The 24,873-nt window shown below is 37.4% G+C and overlaps 1 non-coding gene and 1 pseudogene across 1 annotated transcript; both read right to left on the bottom strand.

Moving 5' to 3' along the window:
* Nucleotides 1-24,873, bottom strand: LOC100292922 (putative ankyrin repeat domain-containing protein 30B-like; annotated as a pseudogene).
* LOC124905169 (U6 spliceosomal RNA) lies at nt 15,470-15,575 on the bottom strand. The gene has a single exon (XR_007068168.1). It is a non-coding gene; the product is annotated as a U6 spliceosomal RNA (small nuclear RNA).

Raw genomic sequence — 24,873 nt, 5'->3', positions numbered from 1 at the left:
AGAATGGATAAAAAAGCAAGTCTTACCTGTATAATGCATATAAGAAATAAACTTTAAATATAAAGACAAAAATTAGTTAAAAGATGAAACAAGATATACCACACTAACACTTGACAAAAGAAGGCTGAGGAAGAGTGGTTGTATTAATACCAAAGTACATTTCATAGCAAAAATATTACCAGCAATATACAAGGTCATTTTATAGTGACAAAGGGTTCAATTAATCAAGAAAACATAACAGTCCTAAATATTTATGTACATAATAACATAAATGCTTCAAAATACATGATAGAAAAATTGACACAACTGCAAAAGAAATAGACAAATTCCCAAGTATAGTCTAAAATCTCTAAACCCCTTACTCAAGTGGTATAATAAGGAGGCAGAAATTTCTGGAAAAATGTTGGCATGTGTACTCACCAGTCTAGACATTTTCCCACTCCCTGTGTATGTATGCTGCTTTAGTTACAAAAAGTTAGGTATGATCTTGGGAGATTTCTTCTTGGATACCAGAAATATCAACCACATCAAAAGTATACCTAACAACTCTAAAATAATTCTTTTGAACAGATTACCACTGAAGAACTTGTAAGTTAAATCCAGTAGATTTTTGAGTAAGTTTACTGCTTGAAATTCTCACATTTAAAAGAAATTTGTAACATCACTTTCTCAGACTCCTCTCCTACGTTTCTTTAACCACTGCTCAGTCTCCTTTACCAAGTCCTTTGACTCTTGTGAAATGTCGATATTCCCAGGGTTGTGTCAATGGCTTTCTTTTTATTCTACATCTTCTGCCTCATGGATAAGCTCATTGAGATCTATGGCTTTGCCTAATAATTATAATAAAAGTATTCTAAGCCTGCATCTTCAAGCAGAGTTCTATCTCCAGCTAGAAATGTATATAATCCAATTGCCTACTGAAAGTATCCCACATAAATGTTTCATTGAACTCAATATGTAAAGAAAACTGTTGGTCTGTCCCATTACTGTTTGCACTTCTCTGTTAACCTGACAAATTCCTACTCCTTCCCCATGAGCATTGTAAATGCTTATGCACAATCTGAAAACTTATGAATGACCTGAGATTTTATCTGTCCCCTAGCTTTTTAAACTCAATTATCACTAAGCCATATTAACTGCACCTCTTTTCTGCCTTTGCTTTATCTTTCCATTGCCACTGGAAATACATACTTATTTATTTTATATTCATATTTCCTAGTTAAACGTGGCCCCTTAACTGATGGTTTTCACAGGGAAAAAGAAACCCTATAAATTACTGTTCTTATTTTTTAAGTTAAAAAAGTTAATCAAAATAAAACAATGCCAAAGAAGGACCTACATGTTTAAATGTGTAAATTGAGCTTCTGAACTTGATTCATTTTACACTTGATGGATCAAACTTTCATAATAGATTGATACTAGGCCACAGGTTTGTTACAAAAAAAAAAAGACTATTGCATGAACTACTACAAAAGCTTCATCTTTAAATCTTTTTATGTGATTATCCTCCATCTATCTTCTATATGAAGGTCCAGAAACTATAGGCCACAGGCCAAATTCAGCTTACTAAATGGTTTTTTATACAAACTTTTATTGGAGTACAATCATGCCTCTTTGCCCATCCATTATCTATGACTCCTTTCACCCTACAATGGCAGAGTTGAATAGCTGTAATAGAGACCACATGGCCCAACATATTCGCTATCTGGCACTTTACAGGAAAAGTTTGCCAATCTCTGCTTTATACCATGACCAGAATGCCCTGATACTCAAATCTAATCTTGTGACTCCCCTGCTCAAACTTTTCCACTGTGTTCCTGCAGAAAACATTGCTGGCTTCCTATGCATAGTCATTATGTATTCTTTATTGCTGCAGAAACACAAGTTCATTTAGATATTTATTATTCCGTTACCCCCATCCAATCTTAAAAGAAAAATCATTATTCTAAGCTAATCACAGTAATAACATTTGCTTTCCTAGTGATTGGTATAGAAATAAGCATGTGGTATAATCCAGCCAATAAAATGTTACAGGAAGATTACTGCAAGCTTCCAAGTTTTCTTCCTATTTAAAAAAAAAATGTGAACAAAAGCAGCACTCCCAGACTTCAGATATTGTCTTGAGTTAGCATGATGATTGGAGCTGTTGCTAATTACCCAACCAAGAAAGGAGACATGAACAAAACACTGCTGATAGCATAACTAATAATGGGGGAGGGGGAGTGAGAACTTATAATATCCCTGTACCACCAAAACAACTTTGGTTTCTATGGTTTTAGCAATTGTTAGTTATTTTCATCTAATATTTACAGCCAGAAGTATTCTGGGAATTTTTCCAGGGCCTACAGAATAACATCTACTCGTTTCTACACTATTAAAATGTGTTGCCTAAGCTTGCCTTATCTAGACATTCAAGCCATTCCTGACTACTCCTGTACCACACTATTTCCACTAGGGAACCCAAAGTGCCAATAAACTCTACAAAGTTCACTCAAGCATCTGACCATTTGTACTTGCTTTTGTAGCTGTCTTTGTAGGACATGTGATCATCTTAGCTGTTCCTTCTTCCAAAACTTCAATTTTATTAGATGTTACTCCTGCCACGCATTCAGTCTTTACAGATGTTTCTTTTTCCTCCCATGTGGTCTTTGTAGGTCTTTCTTGTGGCCATGCAAATTTCTCAGACGTTTCTTTCACAGGCCTTGTAATTTTCCTAGGTGTTTCTCTTGCTGACTGTTCAGTCTTTCCAGATATTGTTTTCCCCAAACATTGAACTTCGTCAGATGTTCCCTCCACCAAGGGTGCAGCTTCGTGTTGGAAATAACTTTTTGGTGCCACAAAGAAGAGTTACCACTCCAGCAACAAGTTAACACTCCAGCAAGGCAAATTTACTTCTATAGAAGGGTGAGTCTTGCGGATGGAGCAATGGCAAGAGCACACTGGATAAGGGAGGGGAAAGGGTTTTTATTCCTAATGCAGATAGTCCCTACTGCTGTATCTTTCCCCTATTGGATAGGGTTGGATCACACACTCTAAGCTAATTTTGACTGGCTACTTCAAAGAGGACAGGGGTGCAAGCCAGAGTGGCAGGGTGGGTAGTTTCCTCAGGAAGGATGGTTACAGAGCAGGTGACTAAGGATGACTAAGGACAGAGCAAGTGACTAAGAATGACTAAGGACAGAGTAGGTGATAGGGACTAGGAGGGGGTCGTTTACTGAAACTAGGGGCAAGGAGGCATAAAGAATGAGGAAGTTAAACTTTAAATGGAGAACAAAGAACAGAGAAGCTGAACATACTGACTTATTGGCTCTTTGAAGAGGAACTGAGAACTCAGTGTACTTAACAATCTTCCCTCTCTTGAATTTTAAAGGACGTTAACAGGCTAAAACCTTTGAAGAGTAATTCACTGTATTCTACAATTGCCTCTTTCAATTTTTATAGCCCTTCCTCTTCAAACCTTTTTAGCATGTCTTGGCTTTTTTTTTTTCAACTTGATCCTCTAAAAGGAAAAGCCTATCTGAATAAGGTGGAGGACAGCTAAGGGAGGTTTTAGAAAGTGTTGTTTATATAAGCCTTTGCACTGCCCATGGATGCATGGTATGACACAACACCCAACAAGAATGAGTACACCCATTACTGCTGTAAAAGAAGTAAGAATTGAGGCTATGATTTCTTTCCATTTACTGAACCACCTTTCTAGCCACGTTGAGAAAGGGTTATTGACTCCAGAATTTTTAGCTAATTTTTTGGATAAAGTGGTAAATCCTTGTAGGGCCCTTGTTATGCTCTCACTGGGGGCAGTGTTGTTTGCTCCCAATGGATAAAGGTACAACACTGAGTTTTATTCATAACACAAACACCACTTTTTCAGCTAATATCATATCTAGGGCCATTCTGTTTTCCCAGGCCATCTGGCTAGTGGGCCTCAATTGTTCTGCTATTCCTTTGACAACATCCCTGGTGTAATTAATAAACCACTGTTGATTATTATAGATGTAATTTATCCAATCTACATTTTTATTGTCACCCACCAAAATATCAATTCAAATCCGGTAGCTATTTGATCTTGGGCTTAAATGTATCTCATACTCCTCATGGGATTCCAATAGCATCTAAATAAATGTGGGAGTCAAAAGACCCATAAAGGACTTCCCTTGCTTTACGATGTTGTGTTTTCCCTTTTTCTGGTTGATGAAATGCCAGAGTGAAATGTATAGCCAACTGGACTACAGCACGAGCGCTGCTCCAGTTACTTAGCAGAGTGTCCTGTAAAGGTCCACCACAATACCACCATAAATCTTCTCAGGATTGTATAAGGGCTGACTGATTGGTAAGCTCTTGGAAAGTCTTAAGCTTACTGCATCCTTTTAGGTCTCCAAGCAAAGCTAAGTTTCCTCCTTATTGTGAGAGACATGAAGTGAACTTAGTGTCAGGAGACGGAAGCTAGATGGCCCTTGGGGGCTGACCTGCAGGGTGTTGAACTTTGGGATATAGCAGAGAGAGAGATTGACATGACTTGTTACACCAGGCTGTGGAACCCTGGAAAAGAGCTACCATACAGCCTATGCCTGGTCGACTGAAGGACCATCCTAGTGGAAAGGGGACAATCTGGGCCTCTGGTCTGCCGTGTACACAAGCATAACAATTGCTTTTGTTTAAAGCACGAATGGAGTATTTGATCCATTCCAACCAGGCATTCGCATCTTGATATCCTGTCTCAGTTGCCAAAGATTGTTTTAGGTCTTTAACTTCTACAATAGCTACTTTGATCTTGTCATTAGATGGAGGAGGAACAACAGTTTCATTGTGAGAGTTTTTGGAAGAAGACTTAGGGGAAGCTGTAGGCAGTAGGGGAGCAATGAAGCATATTTCAAAGATCCAATAGGGTCTGTTTCTGAAAACTCAGCCCCCATAACATAAAACCAGCTTAAAGAAGGGAATTGGCTTAGAGAAGGGGAAGAACTTTGTAGGTTTGAAATAATAACTTGTATTGAGTTGCACTAGTTTACCTGAAAGTTAAGGGGAGCTATATCTTTAGTAAAATAAATGTATGGTTTTAGGAATTACAACTACTGGTTGGGGCAGTCCATCCTTGCTCTCACTTGCACGTAGTTGGACCAACTAGTCATAAAAGCTCTGTGTCAAGGGGGCAAGACTCCCAGTTGACACTGGGGTCTTCATTGAAACTTTCCCAGACTAAATGATCCAAATTCACTAATGTCCAGTCTGAGGACAGCCAGGAAGTACAGAGGTACTTTTCGGAAGTGGAGAGCTGTCTGTGGCCTGACAAGGCTCCACAAGGTATAACAAGGCAAGCATCAAATGTAATAGTTTGAGGCAAAATGGGTTCCATTTTCTGAGTCAATGTTTTCTATTAGCCTAAACCTGGGCACTATATTTTCAATTAAGGCCTTAACTACATTATTGGCCATCACATTTGAAAAGGGAATAGCTTTGACCCAGTGGGTAAGGTGATCTACTGTCACTAGTAAATATTTTAGACGACCTATTGGAGGCATCTCTGTGTAATCAAACTGCATACTTTAAGTCTGGACTCCTTCTCCCAAGGGGTAATCTTTTTATAGTTTGTTTATTAGTTTTCTTACATACTAAGCAACTGTCTGTAACCTGTTTGGCCAGAGTATAAATTCCTATACACCGAAAAACTTTCAGAACTGTGTCACACATGGCTTGGGGCCCCCAGTGGGTCCCTTGATGCAGTTGGGACAAGTTTTCCCTCATAAGGGGTTTGGACAACCTTTCCCTCTGGTCTGGCAATATCCATTTTTCTTTTGAATTCTCCTTAGCACCTATTTTTATTAGTTTCTCTTTTCAGTGGAAGAGAAAATGGAGATTATGTTAGGAGGAAAAAGGTAAAGAGTTCAGTGAAAAATAGATGTTTTAAAAGAAATGGCAGCCTGTTTTCCTATGTAATCTGCTAGGTTATTTCCTAGACTGTCAAAAGGAAGACTTTTCTGGTGTCTGGGGACATGGACAGTCACTCTTTCTTCTGGCAACTGAAGGTTATTCAATCCTTGGGTGAATAGCTCCTTATGAACAAGATCTTGACGTTTACTATTAATGAGACCTCGTTCAGTCCAAATTTTTCCGAATGTATGAGCCACTCCAAAGACGTACTTAGAATTGGTATAGATGGCTCCTTCCTGGTTCTGCAAGTCCTTTAAGGCTTGGCTGAGTGCAAATAGCTCACACGTTTGGGCAGTCCAATTCTTAGACAATTTTCCTGCCTCAATTTCTTCAAGAGTTTCTCCATCAATTACTGAATACCCATTGCATCTTTTTGCCTCAATCACCTGGGAGGAACCATCTATAAATAAGTGTCATCCCATCCTGAAGGGAGTTTCTCCTAGGTCTGGTCAGACCTTTGTATGGTAATCAGTTAAGTCTAAACATGAGTGCTATCTCTTTAGATTTGGATCCCCTATTAGAAAAACTGCTGGGTTAAAGGAATTATCAGTGATTAATGTTAAATCATCTTTTTCTAACAGAATAGTCCCATACTTTAAGACTCTTGAATCAGTAAGCCACCTCCCTGCTTTCTGGTTTAAGATAGTTCTAACTTGATGGGGCTTTCTTACTGTCAATTTTCCTCCAAAGGTTAACTTCCTGCTTTCTTTGGCCATTAGTGCTGTAGCCACAATGGATTGGCTGCATTGAGGCTACCCACAAGTAACTGGATCTAAGACTTTTTACAGGAAGGCCACCATGGGCTGCCGATGACCTCCATGTTCTTAAGTGGACACTCCTAAAGCTACCCCATTATCCGTGTTGACAAAAAGGTGGAATGGCTTTCCTAGGGAAGGTAAGGCTAAGACAGGCTGTTATAAGCCTTTTTATCTGCTCTTCAACCTGATCGACTTCCTCAGACGTCCACAGGAAATGGTCAGTCTTCCCCTTGGCAAATTTTGGATATAGAAGTTTACTGTTTAGTGCATATGAGTTAATCCATAAGCAGCAGTATCCAACTAACCCTAAAAATTTCCTGAGTTCTTGTTTAAGTTTGAGGCAAGGGTAGGGACACGATTCCCTCAACTCGTTCAGGCCCTATTCTTCACTTCTCTGCACTTATCAACTGGTCTAAATATTTAATTTCAGGTTCTACATACTGAAGCTTTCCCTTTGAGACTCATAACCCCTCGAACTGCAGATGGTTGAGAATATGTGTAGAGAAGCCAGCTACCTTCTCTATATCTTCACCAGATATAAGAATATCATCAACATATTGGAGCAGGCATATTTGTTTGGGATGATAACTTTTTCTAATACTTGTTCTAAAATTTGACTGAAAAGGTTAGGGGAGTCTGTGAACCCTTGGGGTAAGACTATCCATTGATATTGTTGTTTCTACCCTGAATGGGGATCCTCCCACTCAAAAGTAAATATATCTTGCTTATCTTCAGCCAGGAGACATGCCCAAAAAGCATCCTTGAAATCTATTACAGTAAACCATTGATTATTATATGGAATCTTGCTGAGAATGGTGTAAGGATCGAGGACAATGGGGTGGGTAGTTTGGACTATTCGGTTAATAGCTCTAAGGTCCTGTACCAGCCGGTATGGCCCATCTGATTTCTTGACTGGCAATATTGAGGTGTTATAAGGGGACATAGAGGGCTCAAGAAGCCCATCTTTAATAAGACCTTCAATTATAGGTTTCAACCCTATCCTGCCCTCTAGGGGAATGGGGTATGGTTTCTTCCTTACTACTTCCCTGGGGATTTTTAGCCTGATGTGGTTGGAGGGACTCAGAGTTTCCCTCAGTTTCCTTCTTTGGATCAGACATTAGGATTAATATATTTTTCATCTGCAGTGGTGAGTAGCTTTAATGAAGTGAGGAATCCTCTTGGGCTGAGTTGCAGGCCTATGCCTAACTTCAACATTAAATCCCTCCCTAGTAAATTAGTCCCTGCTTCAGGGATTAACAAAAACTGAATATGAGCTGATTGAGCCTGGTATCTGACTTCTGTGTTTTCTAAAATTTTTGCTTTAAATCCTTCTCCCTTTACCCCACAAACCAAAAGTTCCTCTGAAGAGTAGGCAATATTAGATGGGGGGGAAACAAACAGAGGATCGAGCCACTCCTGAATTGACTAAAAAGGTTATAAACTCATGCTTAGGTCCCACTTCTAGACTTATCAAGGGCTCCTGGTGGGACTCAAGATAAAAGAGACAGAACCCCTGACCCCACTATTCTTCCTCAAAAGCCATGAGTGGAAGGACTTCTTTTTCATTTTCTAATTTGGGACATTCTCTCTTGAAGTGGCCTGTTCTTCCACATTTGTAGTGCCTACCTTGCCCTTCCCCACTCTCAGTTCTGGGATTCTTTGATTTTACTCCCCCATGCTATTTAGATGGCCTGGTAGACGAGAGCCTTGATCCTCCCAATGGAGGCTTGGGTCCTTTAAAGGAGGGTTTGGAACCTTTATAGTTTCTGGCCCACTGGAAGCTTTGTTTAGGGGTACATGGGTTTGGAGCCATCTGTTGGAAGGTGAATAACTTAAGTTTTGTCTTTTGTTTTTGCTTTTCTTCGTCTCTCTTTACAGATACGTTTTGAGTCTCTCTCAGAAGTTCACTTGAGGTCAGTTTTCCCAATCTTCTAATTTTTGTAACTTTTTTGAAATATCTGGACAATGTTGGCCAGGCGCAGCGGCTCATGCCTGTAATCCCAGCACTTTGAGAGGCCGAGGTGGGTGGATCACGAGGTCAGGAGATTGAGACCATCCTGGTTAACATGGAGAAACCCCGTCTCTACTAAAAATACAAAAAAATTGCTGGGCGTGGTGGTGGGCGTCTGTAGTTCCAGCGACTCAGGAGGCTAAGGCAGGAGAATGGAGTGAACCTGGGAGGTGGAGCTTGCAGTGAATCAAGATTGCACCATTGCACTCCAGCCTGGGTGACAGAGAGAGACTCCATCTCAAAAAAAATAAAAAGAAATATCTGGACAACTTTTAGTGACAAAATGGAGCTTTAACATTCCCTGTCCCAGGGGATTGTATATCAAATGCTTTAGAGAGATTTTGATTTTGGGGTACTGATTCCCTAGTTTCTTTCATTATCATTTCCCTTATGTCTTGCATGTTTTCTTGGTGAGCTGCGTTTTTATTATCCCACTGGGAATCTTGGGCAGGGAATTTTTGGTCTGTGGTAGGAACGTTTTGACAAGGAGGGTGTTCATATTCCCAAACTGCCATAGCAGCCCTACGGATCAGATCATGCTTCTTTCCTCCTCCGAAAAGAGGATGACTAGGATGGACATAAACTCGACCCAAGTGTATAACTGAGGTCCCAAGAATTGATCAACCTGATTTGCCACCTCATAAGGGTCATCTAACAGTGGCTTAATTTCCTTTTTCAAACTTCAGGCTTCTGAACTGGTTAAGGGAGCATTCACAAATACAATGGCTCCTCCTCCTTTTGGCATGTCTTTTAAGGGGAAGAGAGTTGGGGCTGACTTCTTAGGTGTGGAGAGAAAAGGGAAGTTCTGCATGTCCTTTTTACATTGCTGTACCTCATGCTGGAACCCCTTTAGGGAGAGGTATTTAGGTTGACAGGGGACAGGCTCATGGGATGATAACTCCCAAGAATTAGAGTTGTAAGGAGGAGGAACAGCTTGAGCAGGAGAAGGATCTGGGGTGGGATCTGGGGTGGCAGCAGCTGCCCGAGGGGAAGGGTCAGAGGCACTGAGCAGGGCAAAATGGTATAGGGGATCCCATGTGCTGGCTTTAGGTGTGGGAGTCCGCTCATCTGACTTTTCAATTTGAGATGCTGGATCGGGTTCTTCCCTAGTTGTCTTTAAGGGAATAAAGACAGGTCCCTGTCTCAAACAAAGAACATAATCTAGTTCTTCTTGAGAGACCAGATTTTTATCATTAACATATTGAATTAGAAGTTGACACATGACATCCTCATTCGACCCAAACTTTGGCCAGAAGATTGAGGGTTTGAAAATGGGACCTTGGGTCCAAATGAAACAGCAATATTTTATCCTCTAATGCTTTTTCTTATGTTTAGTCCTCTCATTATCCTTCCAATATTTTAACATGAGACCCAGAGGACTATCAGGGGACATGTATTTGTTACTATCCTCTTCTTTTTTGCGCCCTGTCTTACTTGGGGCTTTTCCCATGTTAGGTCCTGGTTAGGCTCAATCCCACATGCTAGAGATTTCTTCCCTATCCTTTAACGCCACCTGCTGGAGGCTCCTTGCACCCTTCTTTCACTTCATCCACTCTGGTTGCTTCCCTCCCAGGAATTTTAGGTCCCTCTTAGCATTGGCATCATGGTATAAACCCCACAGCAGGATCTGCCCTGAGCCCTATGAGGATACACTGAATTCCTCTTCAAAGGTTTTTTATTCAAATAAAAAACTGCAGGTAGAACCCACTCACTCCTCACAGCAATAATGCTTAGTATCATCAACACAAACAGCACCACAAGCAGTAGTGCTTGTGATCATTCACACACACTTTCAACCTCCAGAATATCCCGACCACCAAGGAAATACTTTGTCACCCTTGCGACATTTCTTACCTCGGTCTGTGCACAGTTACCTGGTCGCCACGGCATGTAAAGATCCTTTCCCCAAAGATGCTGGCCTGTTTCTTTCCACGTTGCTGAGAGCCCAGGTTTATTAATCGCACCAGTTGAGTCTTGATTCCTTACCTTTATGGCCACTGCAACGAGGCAGCGGGGTGCGCCTCCTCACGGGAGAGGACTGGACCCTCCCCCAGAGGAGAATGGGAATGCTGGGTGGGCCCCCAAATTTGTGGAAAATAAATTTTCAGTGCCGCAAAGAACAGTCAGCACTCCAGCAACAAGTTTTTACAGCAAGGCAAATTTACTTCTATGAAATAGTGGTCTTGCAGATGGAGCAATGGCAAGATCACACCGGACAAGGGAAGGGAAAGTGTTCTTATTCCTAACGCAGCTAGTCCCTACTGTTGTGTCTTTTCCCTATTGGATAGGGTTGGACTGCACACTCTTAGCTAATTCAGATGGGCTACTTCAAAGAGAGCAGGGGTATGAGCTGGAGTGGCAGGGTGAGTAGTTTCAGCTGGAAAGACAGTTACAGAGCAGGTGTCTAAGGATGACTAAGGACAGAGCAGGTGACTAAGAATGACTAAAGACAAAACAGGTGTTAGAGGCTAGAAGGGGGTTGTTTAATGAAACTAGGGGCAAGGAGGCATAACGAACGAGGAAGTTAAACTTTAAAACGGAGAACAAAGAACAGAGAATCTGAACATACTGACATATTTGCTCTTTGATGAGGAACTCAGAACTCGTTGTACTTAATCTTCCCCCTCTTGAATTTTAAAGGATTTTTACAGGCTAAAATCTCTGAAGAGGAACTCACTGTATGCTGTTCATCAGGTGTTCTTTCCACCAAGCTTTCAGCCATGTCAGGTGTTCTTTCCGCCAAGGGTGCAGCCTCATCAGGTGTTCCTTCACATGTTCCTTCTGCCAAACACACAGTCAGGTTAAATTTTCCTTCTGCTAAATATCATCCTTCTGACTCTTTACATGGAAAACTTCTACTCATTCAGCTTGCTTTCCTTAAATACTACCAAACTTTTGTTTTCTCCTTTTTTTTTTTTTTTTTTTGAGACAACAGCCTCGCTCTGTCACCCAGGCTAGAGTGCAGTGGCACGATCTCAGCAGATCACTGCAACCTCCGCCTCCTGGGTTCATGAAATTCTCTACCTCAGCCTCCCATGTAGCTGGGATTACATATGCATGCCACCCAGGCCCAGCTAATTTTTTGTATTTAGTAGAGATGGGATTTCACCATGTTAGTCAGGGTGGTCCCAAACTCCTGAGCTCAAGCAATCCACCCACCTTGGCCTTCCAAAGTGCTAGGATTACAGGAGTGAGCCACCGCTCCTGGACACTACCAAACTTTTTAAAGCTTTAATTCTTCACTTTGGATATAAAATGTCTGACACATACTGAATATGGTAATGACATAATAAGTGATAATTGTAAGCTCCCGAAGGGGTTCTGGCACAGAGTAAGCACTAAATAAAGTAGTAAATAATAAAAAAAGTCGATAATAACAAGAAAAATTCTTAGTACCTTAATAAAGTAGTAAATAATAAAAAATGACAATGATAATAACAAGAAAGATGCTTAGTACCTTAAAGATACCTGACAGTTATTTGTTAAGTGGACAAGTGGATAAACAAATAAAAAACATAGTTAGGAAGTTCTGTTGGAAAAATGCAGAAATTCAATAGAGACAGCTCTAATGTATTATGAGCACCTTAAAGACCCAGACTATGTGTATTCCATCTTGGTCTCCTGCAACTTGCAAAATCTAACTTATAGAAGTCCTTTGATAAATATGTAATAAATTAAAGATGTGTTCATATAGTTCATATTGTACAATGTATTGTGTCACATTTAGGTATCACAGTAGCACTTTTGTTATTGTGAAAATTTTTTCCACTTTTATTATTATTTGTTGAGCCTAGAGTTGAGCTAGTTGAATATTTATAATGATAATATTTTGGCTAGTAGGACGAGAGTAACTTGTTGTAACAAAATTACTATTAACACACTAATTATCCAGCAGATAGAACAACACATCTTGTTCTAATGAAGTAAATATATCTTATTTGGTTTCAACTTAGAGGGAATGAAGTTGGTAATAGTGAGAAATTGTTGGTACAAGACTATGTAACATAACCTGTGCTTCTGAACAAATAATTGCTTTTCTGACTTCTGCACTCATTAGGTATCTTTGAAAAATAATCTCCTATTGGTACTGATGCACCCTCGCTAAGTTATGTTAATTCTTATTGACATTCATTTATGGTGCAAGAAAAGTATTATTGAGTTCCAAATTCTAAAGATATTTAGTGACACAAGTCACTATGCCACACAGTTGATCTTTGAATAAGGGTTTTCACTCTAGGAGCCCACTAATAGACAGATTTTTCTTTTCCTTTGCCACTGCAAGATACCAAGACAAATCTCTCCTCTGCCTCCGCCTTATCAGCCTACTCAATATGAAGGCAATGAGAATGAAGTCCTTTATGTATAACAATTCACTTCCATCTAATAAATAGTGAATATATTTCTTCCTCTTTATAACAGTTTCTTTTCTCCAACTCACTTTATTCTAAGAATACAATATATAGTACATATAAAATAGAAACTATGGGTTAATTGACTGCTTATGCTTTCACCTTTTTTCAGGCTCCAGGTCAAGAATTAGTAGAGTTTTGGAGGAGTCAAAAGAAACAGATTTTCATATAAAGCAGATTTTCAGCTGCATGGGGGGATCAGCACCCTAACTCTCATGTTGCTCAAGACTCAACTGTAATTAATTCTAATTTTCTAAATGCAAATCATTTATTGTAAAAATTACATAAAGCCCAGAAGTTCAAGACCAGCCTGGGCAACATAAGGAGACCATGTCTCTACAATAAAGAAACAAACAAATAATTTATTTTTTTATTTAACAAATAAACACTTTATATGTTTGTTTATGTTTAATAAACAAACATAAATACTTGTTTATTTAACAGTTTAACTGTGTTCCTTTATAGGTTATAATATTCAAATGTTGCAGTTTTCTCTTATTAATTCCTACTTTTCATTATTAGATGTACTGTTATTTGTGGCTTGTAATTCAAGGCATCTAAGCTAGTTTATAATTTGTAATGAAGTTTATTTATAAATATATTAGTTCATTAAATTGGATAAGCTGATAAACCCCTATTACTGAACTCATCAATCACACCAAGGATTATACATTTTATAACAAGCATAAATTGTTATGACAGTTAAGGAAACATACAATATATAAACTTAAAAATTGTTTTACTTATTTATACAAAAGTATTATATAGGATATTAGGGACCACAATTAAACAAATATTTTTTCAGATAATATTTTTGAGATTATAAACCACCTACAACTAAATTCTTAATGAATTCTGAATTATAAACTAAAAAATTAAATCAAAGCTCTGTATATATAAAAACACTTACGTATAGGTATATATGTAAACACATGCTACTTACACGTTGCTTTTTTAATAGCTCTTTTGTGATCAACACTCCTATAATCTCATGGTAGCACCACCAAGTGTAGTTTACTATCAGAGGTCTTACCTGGATTGCTATTTTGAGAATTTTTAGATATCTTTTGTTTATATTCCAAAAGTTGTTGATCAATGCTATGTATAAAAATGAAATAAATAAAATTACTATTTTAACATTGATATAAAAAACATTTACCAAATTTGTTAAGTTCTTAGAGTATTTCAGACAATATTAGAGCTAACATCAGAACATTACTTTTTCCATAGACTTTAAGTTTGTAAGCTCTATGAACTTATTAAGCTTCTAATTAAAGAAGAAAGTAAGATAAAACACTCATGAAGTGAGGGCAGTATAACTCAGCAAATTAACTAGAGGTAGCTTGACATATGGAAAATGTCCTTAACTCAGAATAAATCCTAGCATGGCTACCAACAGGTATTTTTTCTTGAACAAGTTGCTTCCTTAGACTCAATGTCTTCTAACAATGAGGATTTTAGGGCCTTATTTCACTATGTTATTATAAAGATTTAACAAGATAACATTTTTAAAATGCTTAAAATAAAAAGTGAAGCAAAAAAATAATTTGTTCTTCAACCTTATTGCTGAAACTATTTTAAAATTCCCAATAAAACCCAATATATTGGCCTGGTGCAGTGGCTCATGCTTGTGATGCAAGCACTTTGGGATGCTGAGACAGGAGGATTGCTTGAGTCCAGAAGTTCAAGACCAGCGTGGACAACATAGGGAGACCACGTCTTTACAAAAATTAAATTACAAAGAAAAAAACACAAATGTGTTTCTTCATAGGTTATAATATTCAAATATTGCAATTTTCTGTTATTAATTCCTACTTTTGGATATTAGATTTTCTGTTCTTTGTGGCTTGTAATTCAGAGCATCTAAGCTATTTTATATTTTGTAATGAAATTTATTTATAAATATATTAAATCATTAAATCAGATGACCTAATTATACTCTATTACTGAGCTCCTCAGTCACACCAAGGGCAGAAAATAATAGATGTCAGCATCTGGCTTGGACTACTGCTACTCTTTATCTACCTCCTTAAACTCTGAACCAACAAATCTTTGTTAGAATGATGCTTAGTCACTATGTTCATTTCCAGCTGCTGTGGAAGACAAAACCCTACCTTTATTTTCTGTAAGTTCCACAAAGAAGATGCAAGTTGGTATTTTCTTATTTCTGAGATCCCTACTAACAAAATATTGCACACAAGATCCTATGTGTTACCACATCTCATTTCATAGATCACCTTACGTAAATAATTTTTTGTATGAAAATCACAATTGCAATACTGAGCTTCACCCATTTTGCTTTGACTCACACCATTTCCTTGGAGCTAGTTAGAAAGTAGTAAAATGTCCTTTTGGGGACTGCAAGAAATATGCAACACTTTACAGATTCTATGTCATCCTTGTGTGGGGACCATGCTGATCTTCTCAACGTTGTTTCAATTTTACTATATGTACCACTGAAGCCAGCACAAATCCTTACTTTTATATGTGAAGACTGATCAGTGATGGATGAGGCTTAGCTCTGTTAAATCTAACCAACTTACTTGAGATTTAATAAAGTCTATTGTATGGCTTCATGGTGATGCAGCATTTGAAAATATTTTAAAAACTCGAGGTAGAGATGTAAGTAGCATGGGAGATTTTTACTTTTAGGAAAAAAGAATCACTTGAGGGGACAACCACAAGTTGGAACCCACTACAACTTGGGAAAGATGACATGGGATTTTACAGAATAAGGTGAGACCTTCCACTACCTACAAAATGGTGCTACACAGGATATAAAGGGCCAGGGATATAGATCTGTTAACAAAGACAAAATGGATCTCTAATTTCTTCCTGTAACAATATTTCAACCTGACTTACAGTTTCAAACTACCACAACTAATATTGGGTAGAGAAAATAGAAAAAGTCACTCAAAGGATAAGTTACCATGAAGGTCTAGGCCATGTCCAGGTTAAGATGTGGGTTTCACATCAGGTTTTGAGTGTGAGGAGAAGGGTCAATTTGCTCACTATTTGTGTGGCTAAAGCTAAAAGTTCTAGCTGCCAGAGTGGGGTGCTGATACTTTGGTAACAATGGCTGAGAATATGTACATGAACTTTAAAAACATGTAGTAACTTCAAAGTCTACACCATGAAGACTGAGGGATCTGTGTTAATAAGGGCATCCTGGTCACAAAGGTCAATCATTACCAGACTGCAGGAGCAGTTTCAATGGCAAAGATGCAGCAACAGAATCAATGGAAACAACAAAATGAAGAGAATAGCCATTCCCCCACCCCCTCCCAGTCCTTCTGACTTGCACAGAAGGAATGTCTTCCTTGGACTTAGGGTCAGATTCTTTTAAAAAATTCAAGAATGAAGGTATGGAAGACAGCCCCCTGGGGACACTATCAGGTTTTCTGCTTAAAGTGGACATTTTGAGACCCAAATAACTAATTAGAAAAGCTAAAATCGTGACATTATGTTTATCCCATGCATAGGGGTCATACTTCAAATCAAGTAGACAACATTAGCGTCCCTAAAGCCCTAAAATAAAGAATCCTGGAGCCATTACTCCTTCTAAATAGTCTAGCTTTTTGCCTGGTTTCTGGCTGATGAAGTGAACTAACTCAGTGTCATTCATAAACTACCTGAAACAAACTATAAAATCTCACCTAGCCTTTAAATGTAAACACTTACGGATTAAATCCACAAGCAACAGCATAACGTTCTGCAATCATTCCACACGTATCTTCAGCACAGATGTCAACATTTTCCTGAAGAACCATGCCAACTATCTCTGATGATCCATGACACATGGCAAGCATGAGGGCTGTGCTAAAATAACAAAGAGATAACTTCATTATTAGGAACAGAACCAATTTAATATGTGCCTGTCAGTGTAGAATTAACCATTTACATGTATTAACAAACGTTAAGTATCTTGAGTGCTCAAGTGTTTATCCTTGTAAATCACGACCAAGGCTAAAAGGAAGGGGCAAAAAGACTCATGTCTCACTGGGATATGCCATAGTAGAATTGGCTAACATAAAGTCCACTGAGGGGCAAGAAAATATGTTCTGTTCACTAATCTAAAAGAGGCAAAGTTTTAAGTGAAGAATTATCTATTTTCTCCTTAGTTTTATATAATATTTTGTACTTCAAAATTAGCTAGAAGTCGGACAAGTGAGAGCAATCTGAAGACTTAAAACAATATTAGGAATAATATTGTCCTGAGTAGCTGGGACTATAGGCATGTGCCACCATGCTTGGCTAATATTTATATTTTTCATAGAGATGGGGTTTTACCATGTTGGCTAGGCTGGTCTCAAACTCCTGGCATCAGCTGATCTACCCACTTGGCCTCCCAAAGTGCTGGGATAACAGATGACAGCTACCATGCCCAGCAAATATTGCATTTTTTAAAAGCACATGAAAAACAGAAGTTAGAAAAATACTATAAAGGTGTTAATCATTCAATATTGAATTATAAAGTAAACTAAAAATTCTTAAAACTAATACAGAACCACTTTAGCTAATAGAAGATAATGCAACCAAAAACATCAGATTACAAATAAGAATCAGTCAATACAATAAAAGAAGAAAATCCTATTATATACTGTTCTTTATGTTGACCAGTCCAAATAATTGCTTTTCTTCCTAACTGATAATTTGTGTTGGTATTTTTCTGTATAATCTAATAATTTTAAGTAAATATTATTAATTTAATATTTCTGACTTGATTGTTATTACTCTAGCACACTACTCAAGTGTTTTTTAATAAAAAAACTACTATACCATTTAAACTTATCAACTGCATTTGCATTTGCATTTTTTGTCAGTAAAAATTCCACAATTTGCTCACTTCTTTTCCTCATGACCAGTAAAAGCGGTGTGTGGCCAGTCTGTAAAACAGCAAAAACAATTTATAATTCATGAAATTACATATTTCTCAGCTGAACTGAATACCTTATATAATATCTTATGAACATAAACAATAGAAAGTAAATCAATAGCAATCCCTTCTTTCTCACTTTTCTGTGCTTTCCCATGCACTGCACCTTCTCTTGTAAACATTCAGCCTCTGCGTCACCACATTAACTCTGGTTATCTCCAAAAATCATTATATTGTAATGATTTTATTGTTTCCCATTTAAACCAAGAGCTTCTTGAGGGCAAGGGCTGTATCTTTTACCTCTATATCCTTAAACCCTAAGACATAGTAGTAAATACTTTGTTTTTTATTAAATTAGTAATCTAAATTATTACCTCTGGAACAATGTTTCTTCAACTATATTCCAAAGAATAATTACCTTACCAGAAGCACTGTACCCCAACAGATTCCACCATTATCTATGTTCAAGAAAAGTTATAAAACTGTGAATTAAATGTTCATTATTCAATAAATGAATTGAACTTTACCTAATCCTTATTTGACAGTATATTTTTGTGGCAAACATTAACATTTGACAAATTAGAATTTTAGGGATGCAGTTTTGAAAGCTTCCCCCCAAAAAGGGAGGTTTCCTCTGGGTGATACAAACTTACTTGATTCTCTTCTATCAATAATCCCAAGATTCCAGATGCCAATGTCAGGCACTCCTGCTCTAAATGGGTCACTAAGGAAGTGGCTCTAAATTAAAAGAGATTGGCTTCAAATAAACTTTGATTGCTTATTATTAAATCATCCATGAGGTTTATCCTATTACCAGACAATAGGATTTTATCTCAGTTATTAGAAATTCAGTATAAAAGGCCAGGCAAGGTGGTTCATGCCTGTAATCCCAGCACTTTGGGAGGCCAAGGTGGGCAGATCAAAAGGTCAGGAGATCGAGACCATCCTGGTCAACATGGTGAAACCCCATCTCTGCTAAAAATACAAAAAATTTAGCTGGGCATGGTGGCACATGCCTGCGTCCCAGCTACTCAGGAGGCTGAGGCAGGACAATCGCTTGAACCAGGGAGGCAGAGGTTTCAGTAAGCCAAGATCACACCACTGCACTCCAGCCTGGTGACAGAGCGAGGCTCCGTCTCAAAAAAAAAAAAAAAAAGAAAAAAAGAAAGGCAATTCAGTATAAAAGTTTATTCTCAATTATAATGATACTCCTAGGATCCTAATGCATATCCACTTCTTAAAATGCAATAATCCATTTTTATTCTGGTTTCTATTGTAATTGATACTATTTTTTGGCAAAATATCAGAAGTATGAATAAAATGGCTTATTAATGAAAGTTCTAACTCACGTATATGGATTAGCAAAATAGAAGTCGCTAAATCACTTGAATTTTAAGGGACAAGTCTGTGGAGAAAGATATAATATTTTCTGCAATTTGCATAACCCATTCAAATATAAACATGATTAATCTAAAAAGGCTTAAAGGCCTTCTAATAGAAGATGATTATTTATGGTTTATATGAAGAAAAATCATCATTTAAAAAATATTCTAAATTCTAGAAGACAACCCCATTATTAATGAATTAATGTAAAATATAAACTATATATTATAAACACCTATAAACTGTCTTCAATAACTTGAAATCTTTACCAAAATATACTACAAGAGAAGAATTGATAACTGAAATATTTACAGAGGCAAAAGAGGTAAGTTGAATAAGTGATGTAACTAGGTGGGCACAGTAGCAAACTGGAAACATATGTTTTATGTAAAGCTAGAATGTCTTCATAGCATACCAAACAGTCATATGGGCTCAAGAAACACCAGATTCAATCCTTTAAGAGGAAATCCAGATTTCTTCATGTCTCCTAAATTTTACTTTCCTGTAGTTTTATACTAATTGGAAAGAAAAAAAAAACTTGGGTGGGAAAGAATATTTGAAAAATTTTACCTTTAACAAACTCAAATATTTATCATAATGCACAGAAAAACCATACTAATAGTTCTTGTAAAAATATTAATATTTAAAGCAAAATCCTAGACAATTAAGTTTGGTCAAACTATTTTCATAGGAAAATAAGAATGTTTGAGCTTCCAAATATAAAACAATTTACATATGTTAATGTTAAAACAAATGGATTTCAAATATTTTGAAAATAACATTGGTTAACGTCTACCTTGTTCTTCACTTCGATGTCTGCACCACAGGACAGCAATTTTGCCACCACTGACAAATTCTCACCTTATAAGAGCATAATGAACAGCTGTGTTGCCATACACATCTACAATATTTGGATCAGCACCAGAATCTATGAGAATATTTGCACAAACCTCCCTCTGGCATTGCACAGCCTGTCAGTATTAAAGCAAGAAGTAAATTATAAATTATAGGAAATATAAATAAATATTCCACAGGTTTCACAAACTAGCTATATTTCAATGAGATACATTCATTTTTATTCTATGTATTTAAACCAAATCCATCTCCTGCTGAAAGAACTGGCTACCATTTACCTTCATCAGAGTTGTCCTGTTTTCGCCATCAAGGATGTCAAGCTGGCACTTTCTATCTACCAGAAGTGTTACTACTTCTGCACGGCCATTGGCGCAGGCCCAGTGTAGAGCAGTCCTACGAAAGTGAGAGGACTTTTTAGGAAAGTTTAGTCCACTGTCTCAAAGCATATAATGATTTATGTAATTGTCAACATTAAATACCATGCTCTTTCTCTGCCTTCAAAACAAATATTTAATATTCTCCTGAAGAAAGAACAACATTCATTCACTCTTATTACTCACTACATTAGTGAAAGAGTGGCCTATTTGAATAGAAAGAGCTTGGCCTTTGGATTCAGTTCACTTGGGCTTGAATATTACTTTAAAGTCTTTCACCTTCTAGCTATCACCTAACCTTTCTGTGCCTCAAGTTTCTCATCAATAAAGTGAAGATGAATACAGCAGTTTTCTCACAGGACATCACTGTGATGCCTCATGAGAATCTGTGCAATATATTTCAAAGAATTCCTAGCACATGTAACAGCTCAGTAATTGTTAGATATTGTAATTATTTCTACTACTTAACAAAGAAAACATTTTAAGTTAAATGGTACAGTTATGCCTACTTTGTGGTATGTTTTAAAGGTTAGAGATAAAACTGTATTTTAATAATTCTAAGATACTCTATTTCTCATATTTTAACATCTCTGACATTGAAATGCCACTTATAAGTCATTATTTATTACAAGTATATTTTGCAGAAATTTAAACAATCTTTTATTGGTACATAAATAAGGAGGCATCACACAACTCATGATGCCTTCCATGAAGTGGAATACGGTATATACAACAGGATGATGGCAGTCCTAATCATAGGATTAACACTTAAAGAAATTTTAGCTTTTAAGAGTGCTACACAAAAGGAGAGTTGAAATAAAAACAAACTGTTATAACAAAGTACTTCTTTAATATTTTTAAAACTTCAAGCCAAAGAAAACTTGGGATTCAAGTAGGTATGGCTCATTTTATTCCATATTTAGATTTACAGAATGTATGTAAATTCATATTTAAATTTATAGACTGCATGTAAATTAGGTATTTCTAATGATTAATATTACTATTTAAAGCTGTTATAAATTTCCAAAATCGTGGTTGGTAGTTATCTTTTACTAGTTTCTCACTTCAGAAGAGTTTTTGTTTTAAAGATGAGAGGAAAAGCTTCAATTGAGATTCAGTCCTAATACTCCAACTTTAAACCTCTCACTTTGCTAAGGCCGAGCAGGTAAATGTGAAATTTTTAAGGATGAAAGGATCTTGAGAGTTAATGTATCTTCTACATAATAGGCATTCAGCTTACATGTGATAAATTGATTAAAAGGATAAATACAGTTGAGAAGTTCAATACCTTAAAAAAACTGCTATAAATCACTTATATTTTCTATTTTATTTTCTTAATAATAAAACTACACTAATTAATCTATAATTATTGACATATATGTAATAAATCTATATATAATAAAAATATGTGCCTAATAAGATGTATATGTAAATCAACAAGCACAGGTAAAAAGATTGTCTTTTGAAGATGCTAAAAGTTCACATAATATACTAATCCACAAAAAATAATAACTAAAATATGGGAAGAGAGAAATTATTTTTATTGGTGCAAAATTATATTCCTGCTCTTCCTAAAAATTATTCCATTAATAATAAACTTTTTCTAATAGCATTGTACATGCTCAATGAGGAAATCAAAGATGATAAAAAGGAAAAACATTTAAATTAAAACAAATGCCCTCAAATAACAAATTTTATCGTATTTCATACACAATTTCAGATAACACAAGACTGTAGTCTGTGTGTATGTATAATCAAACTGAACTTTACCCTCACTTGATACACCAAAATACACTTTCAAATGTCACCTACTTCTCTACATATTTCTACCTTCAGTGGTCACATATTATCCCATGCTGTAAATTCACTGAAATGTATTTATAAAAGCCATTATATGGATTCTTCTTAATAATATGGTACTTACCACCAAATTGTCTATTTGAAAAGTTATCTGCAACTTAAACTTTAAACAGCAGTATAAATATCACTGCTCTTCATCCTCACAAACTTTGTAGATAGAAAACAGTATTTGATTCCTCTTTTAATTTAAATACCTTCTCTAACCAGGAACACTAAATATTGTTTTCTGTGTGCATAGGTCACTTACAGATCTTAAGAAAATACTTTGCCCAATTTTAAATTAGAAGCAAAGTACTATTTTTAGATCTGCAATTTAGATCTCTAATTTAAATTGCTCAATTTTAAATTAGAGGATTTTTTGTTGATTTAAGTGAATTATCTATAAAATGACGATTTTTAAATCTAATATGTATACACAGAAACACATACATGTGTAGTAAACATTTTACAAGTATGCTGCCTTTTATTTTTTCTCATTATAGGTTAATTTAATTTTGCTTTGCTTAATTATCCTTCAGACTGCTTGCTTCTGAGCTTCTTAGAGAGGTGTTGTCAACATAAAAATGTACCTGTGTAAATAGGCATTTATGTTTTCTTCTGGTGCTTTTATCATTTTGTATATTAAAAAATTTAATCTATATTCCGTCAGAAATTTACTTTGTGGTATAAAAATCTAGTTTTCTCCAAAAAGCAGGCATTTCGCTTATGAAACTAATTCTTTCCCTACTAGTATAAAGTTCTAAATTCTTAGATATTTGGGTGTTTCTGGATTTTCTATTCTGTGTATTCATTTACCTGTCTTTTCAGCTGTTATCAAAGAATTTGTGATTTGTTTATTTATTTTTGAAACAGAGTCTCACTCTGTCGCCCAGGCTGGAATGCAGTGATGGGATCTCAGCTCACTGCAACCTCCACCTCCCAGTTTCAAGGGATTCTCCCACCTCAGTCTCCCGAGTAGATGGGATTACAGGCTCCCGACCTCGTGCCTGGTTAATTTTTGTATTTTCGTAGAGTCGGGGTTTCACCATATTGGCCAGGCTAGTCTTGAACTCCTGACCTCAGGTGATCCACCCGCTTCGGCCGCCCGAAGTGCTGGGACTACAGGCATGAGCCACCACGCCTGGCCCTTTTTTTTTTTTTTTTCAAATTTTATTTATTTATTTATTATGATTATTTTGAGACAGAGTCTTGCTCTGTCACCCAGGCTGGAGTGCAGTGGTGCGATCTCGGGTCACTCCAAGCTCCGCCTCCCAGGTTCACACCATTCTCCTGCCTCAGCCTCCCGAGGAGCTGGGACTACAGGCGCCCACCACCACACCCGGCTAATTTTTTGCATTTTTAGTAGAGACTGTGTTAGCCAGGATAGTCTCGATCTCCTGACTTCGTGATCCACCCACCTCGGCCTCCCAAAGTGCTGGGATTACAGGTATGATCCACCTTGCCTGGCCGTGGCGCATTTTGTGCAAATTAATAGCACAGTTTGAAATCTAGAAGGGCAAGACTTTTCTACTCTGTTACAAAATTTTTTAAATGTCATCACAATAGTAAAAGACAGTGTGTGTAATTTTAAAAATGTTAAAACGTTGATAACTTTATTTGGTTTATGTAAAACTGATAAAGAGCTTGCATCTTGAGAAAAATGAGTCTTCTTAAATTCGAAAACACAAACCATCTTCCCACCTCAAAGTTACCTTCTAAGGTCCCTCAGCAAAGAACATATTTACATAGGCATTCATTGATATTGAAATGGATACTGGACTTTATCCAAAAAACTTTTAGCCAAGAAGCTAATGTATTATGGGAATTATTTCATTACGCACCATTTCATAATGTATCTAACATTATCTTCTAAAACCTGTACATTAAAAGTAAAACCCTGTATGTACTTAATTTTGTAAGTTAAATCACTTTAAAATTCTCTACACAGTGCTCTGTGAGAGGAAATGGGAGTGAAGGAGAAAGCAGCTAACTAAAGTTTGGGGTTGATTTTAAGGTGGCCTGGGCCCTCCGCCCTGTCAAGGCCTGGAGGGCCTGCTCGGGAACAAGGCCAAGACCTCGGGGCCCGGGACGGCCACCCCGCTGCCCACCACTCCTCCACCTGCTCCCCTCGTCCCTAGGACCCCTAGCCCCCACTCTGAAGGGGCGATCCTCCCACAGCCGCCTCCTCCTCCTGCAGCCCCGGCTCAGGCACTGTCTGGTACCTCTTCTTCGCATCTCTTATGTTCAGGTCCATTGTCGTTTTCTTCATCATCCTCTCCAGCTTCCAGGCTTGGCCCCGGGAGGCAGCTTTGTGGATCTTCCTGAGATCCCCGTGGTGAATCACGTAAGAGTCATTGTTGGTGTAGACCAGCTGACTGAAGGGGCTCGGGCACTCCAGGCCCGTCTGGCCCTTGACAGCGGCGGCAGAGAGCCTCTCCAT

The sequence above is a fragment of the Homo sapiens genome, chromosome 22 (genome assembly GCF_000001405.40).
Source record: "Homo sapiens chromosome 22, GRCh38.p14 Primary Assembly".
NCBI lineage: Eukaryota > Metazoa > Chordata > Mammalia > Primates > Hominidae > Homo > Homo sapiens.
The sequence above is the reverse complement of the archived record's forward strand: the minus strand, read 5'-3'. Positions and strand labels throughout refer to the sequence as shown.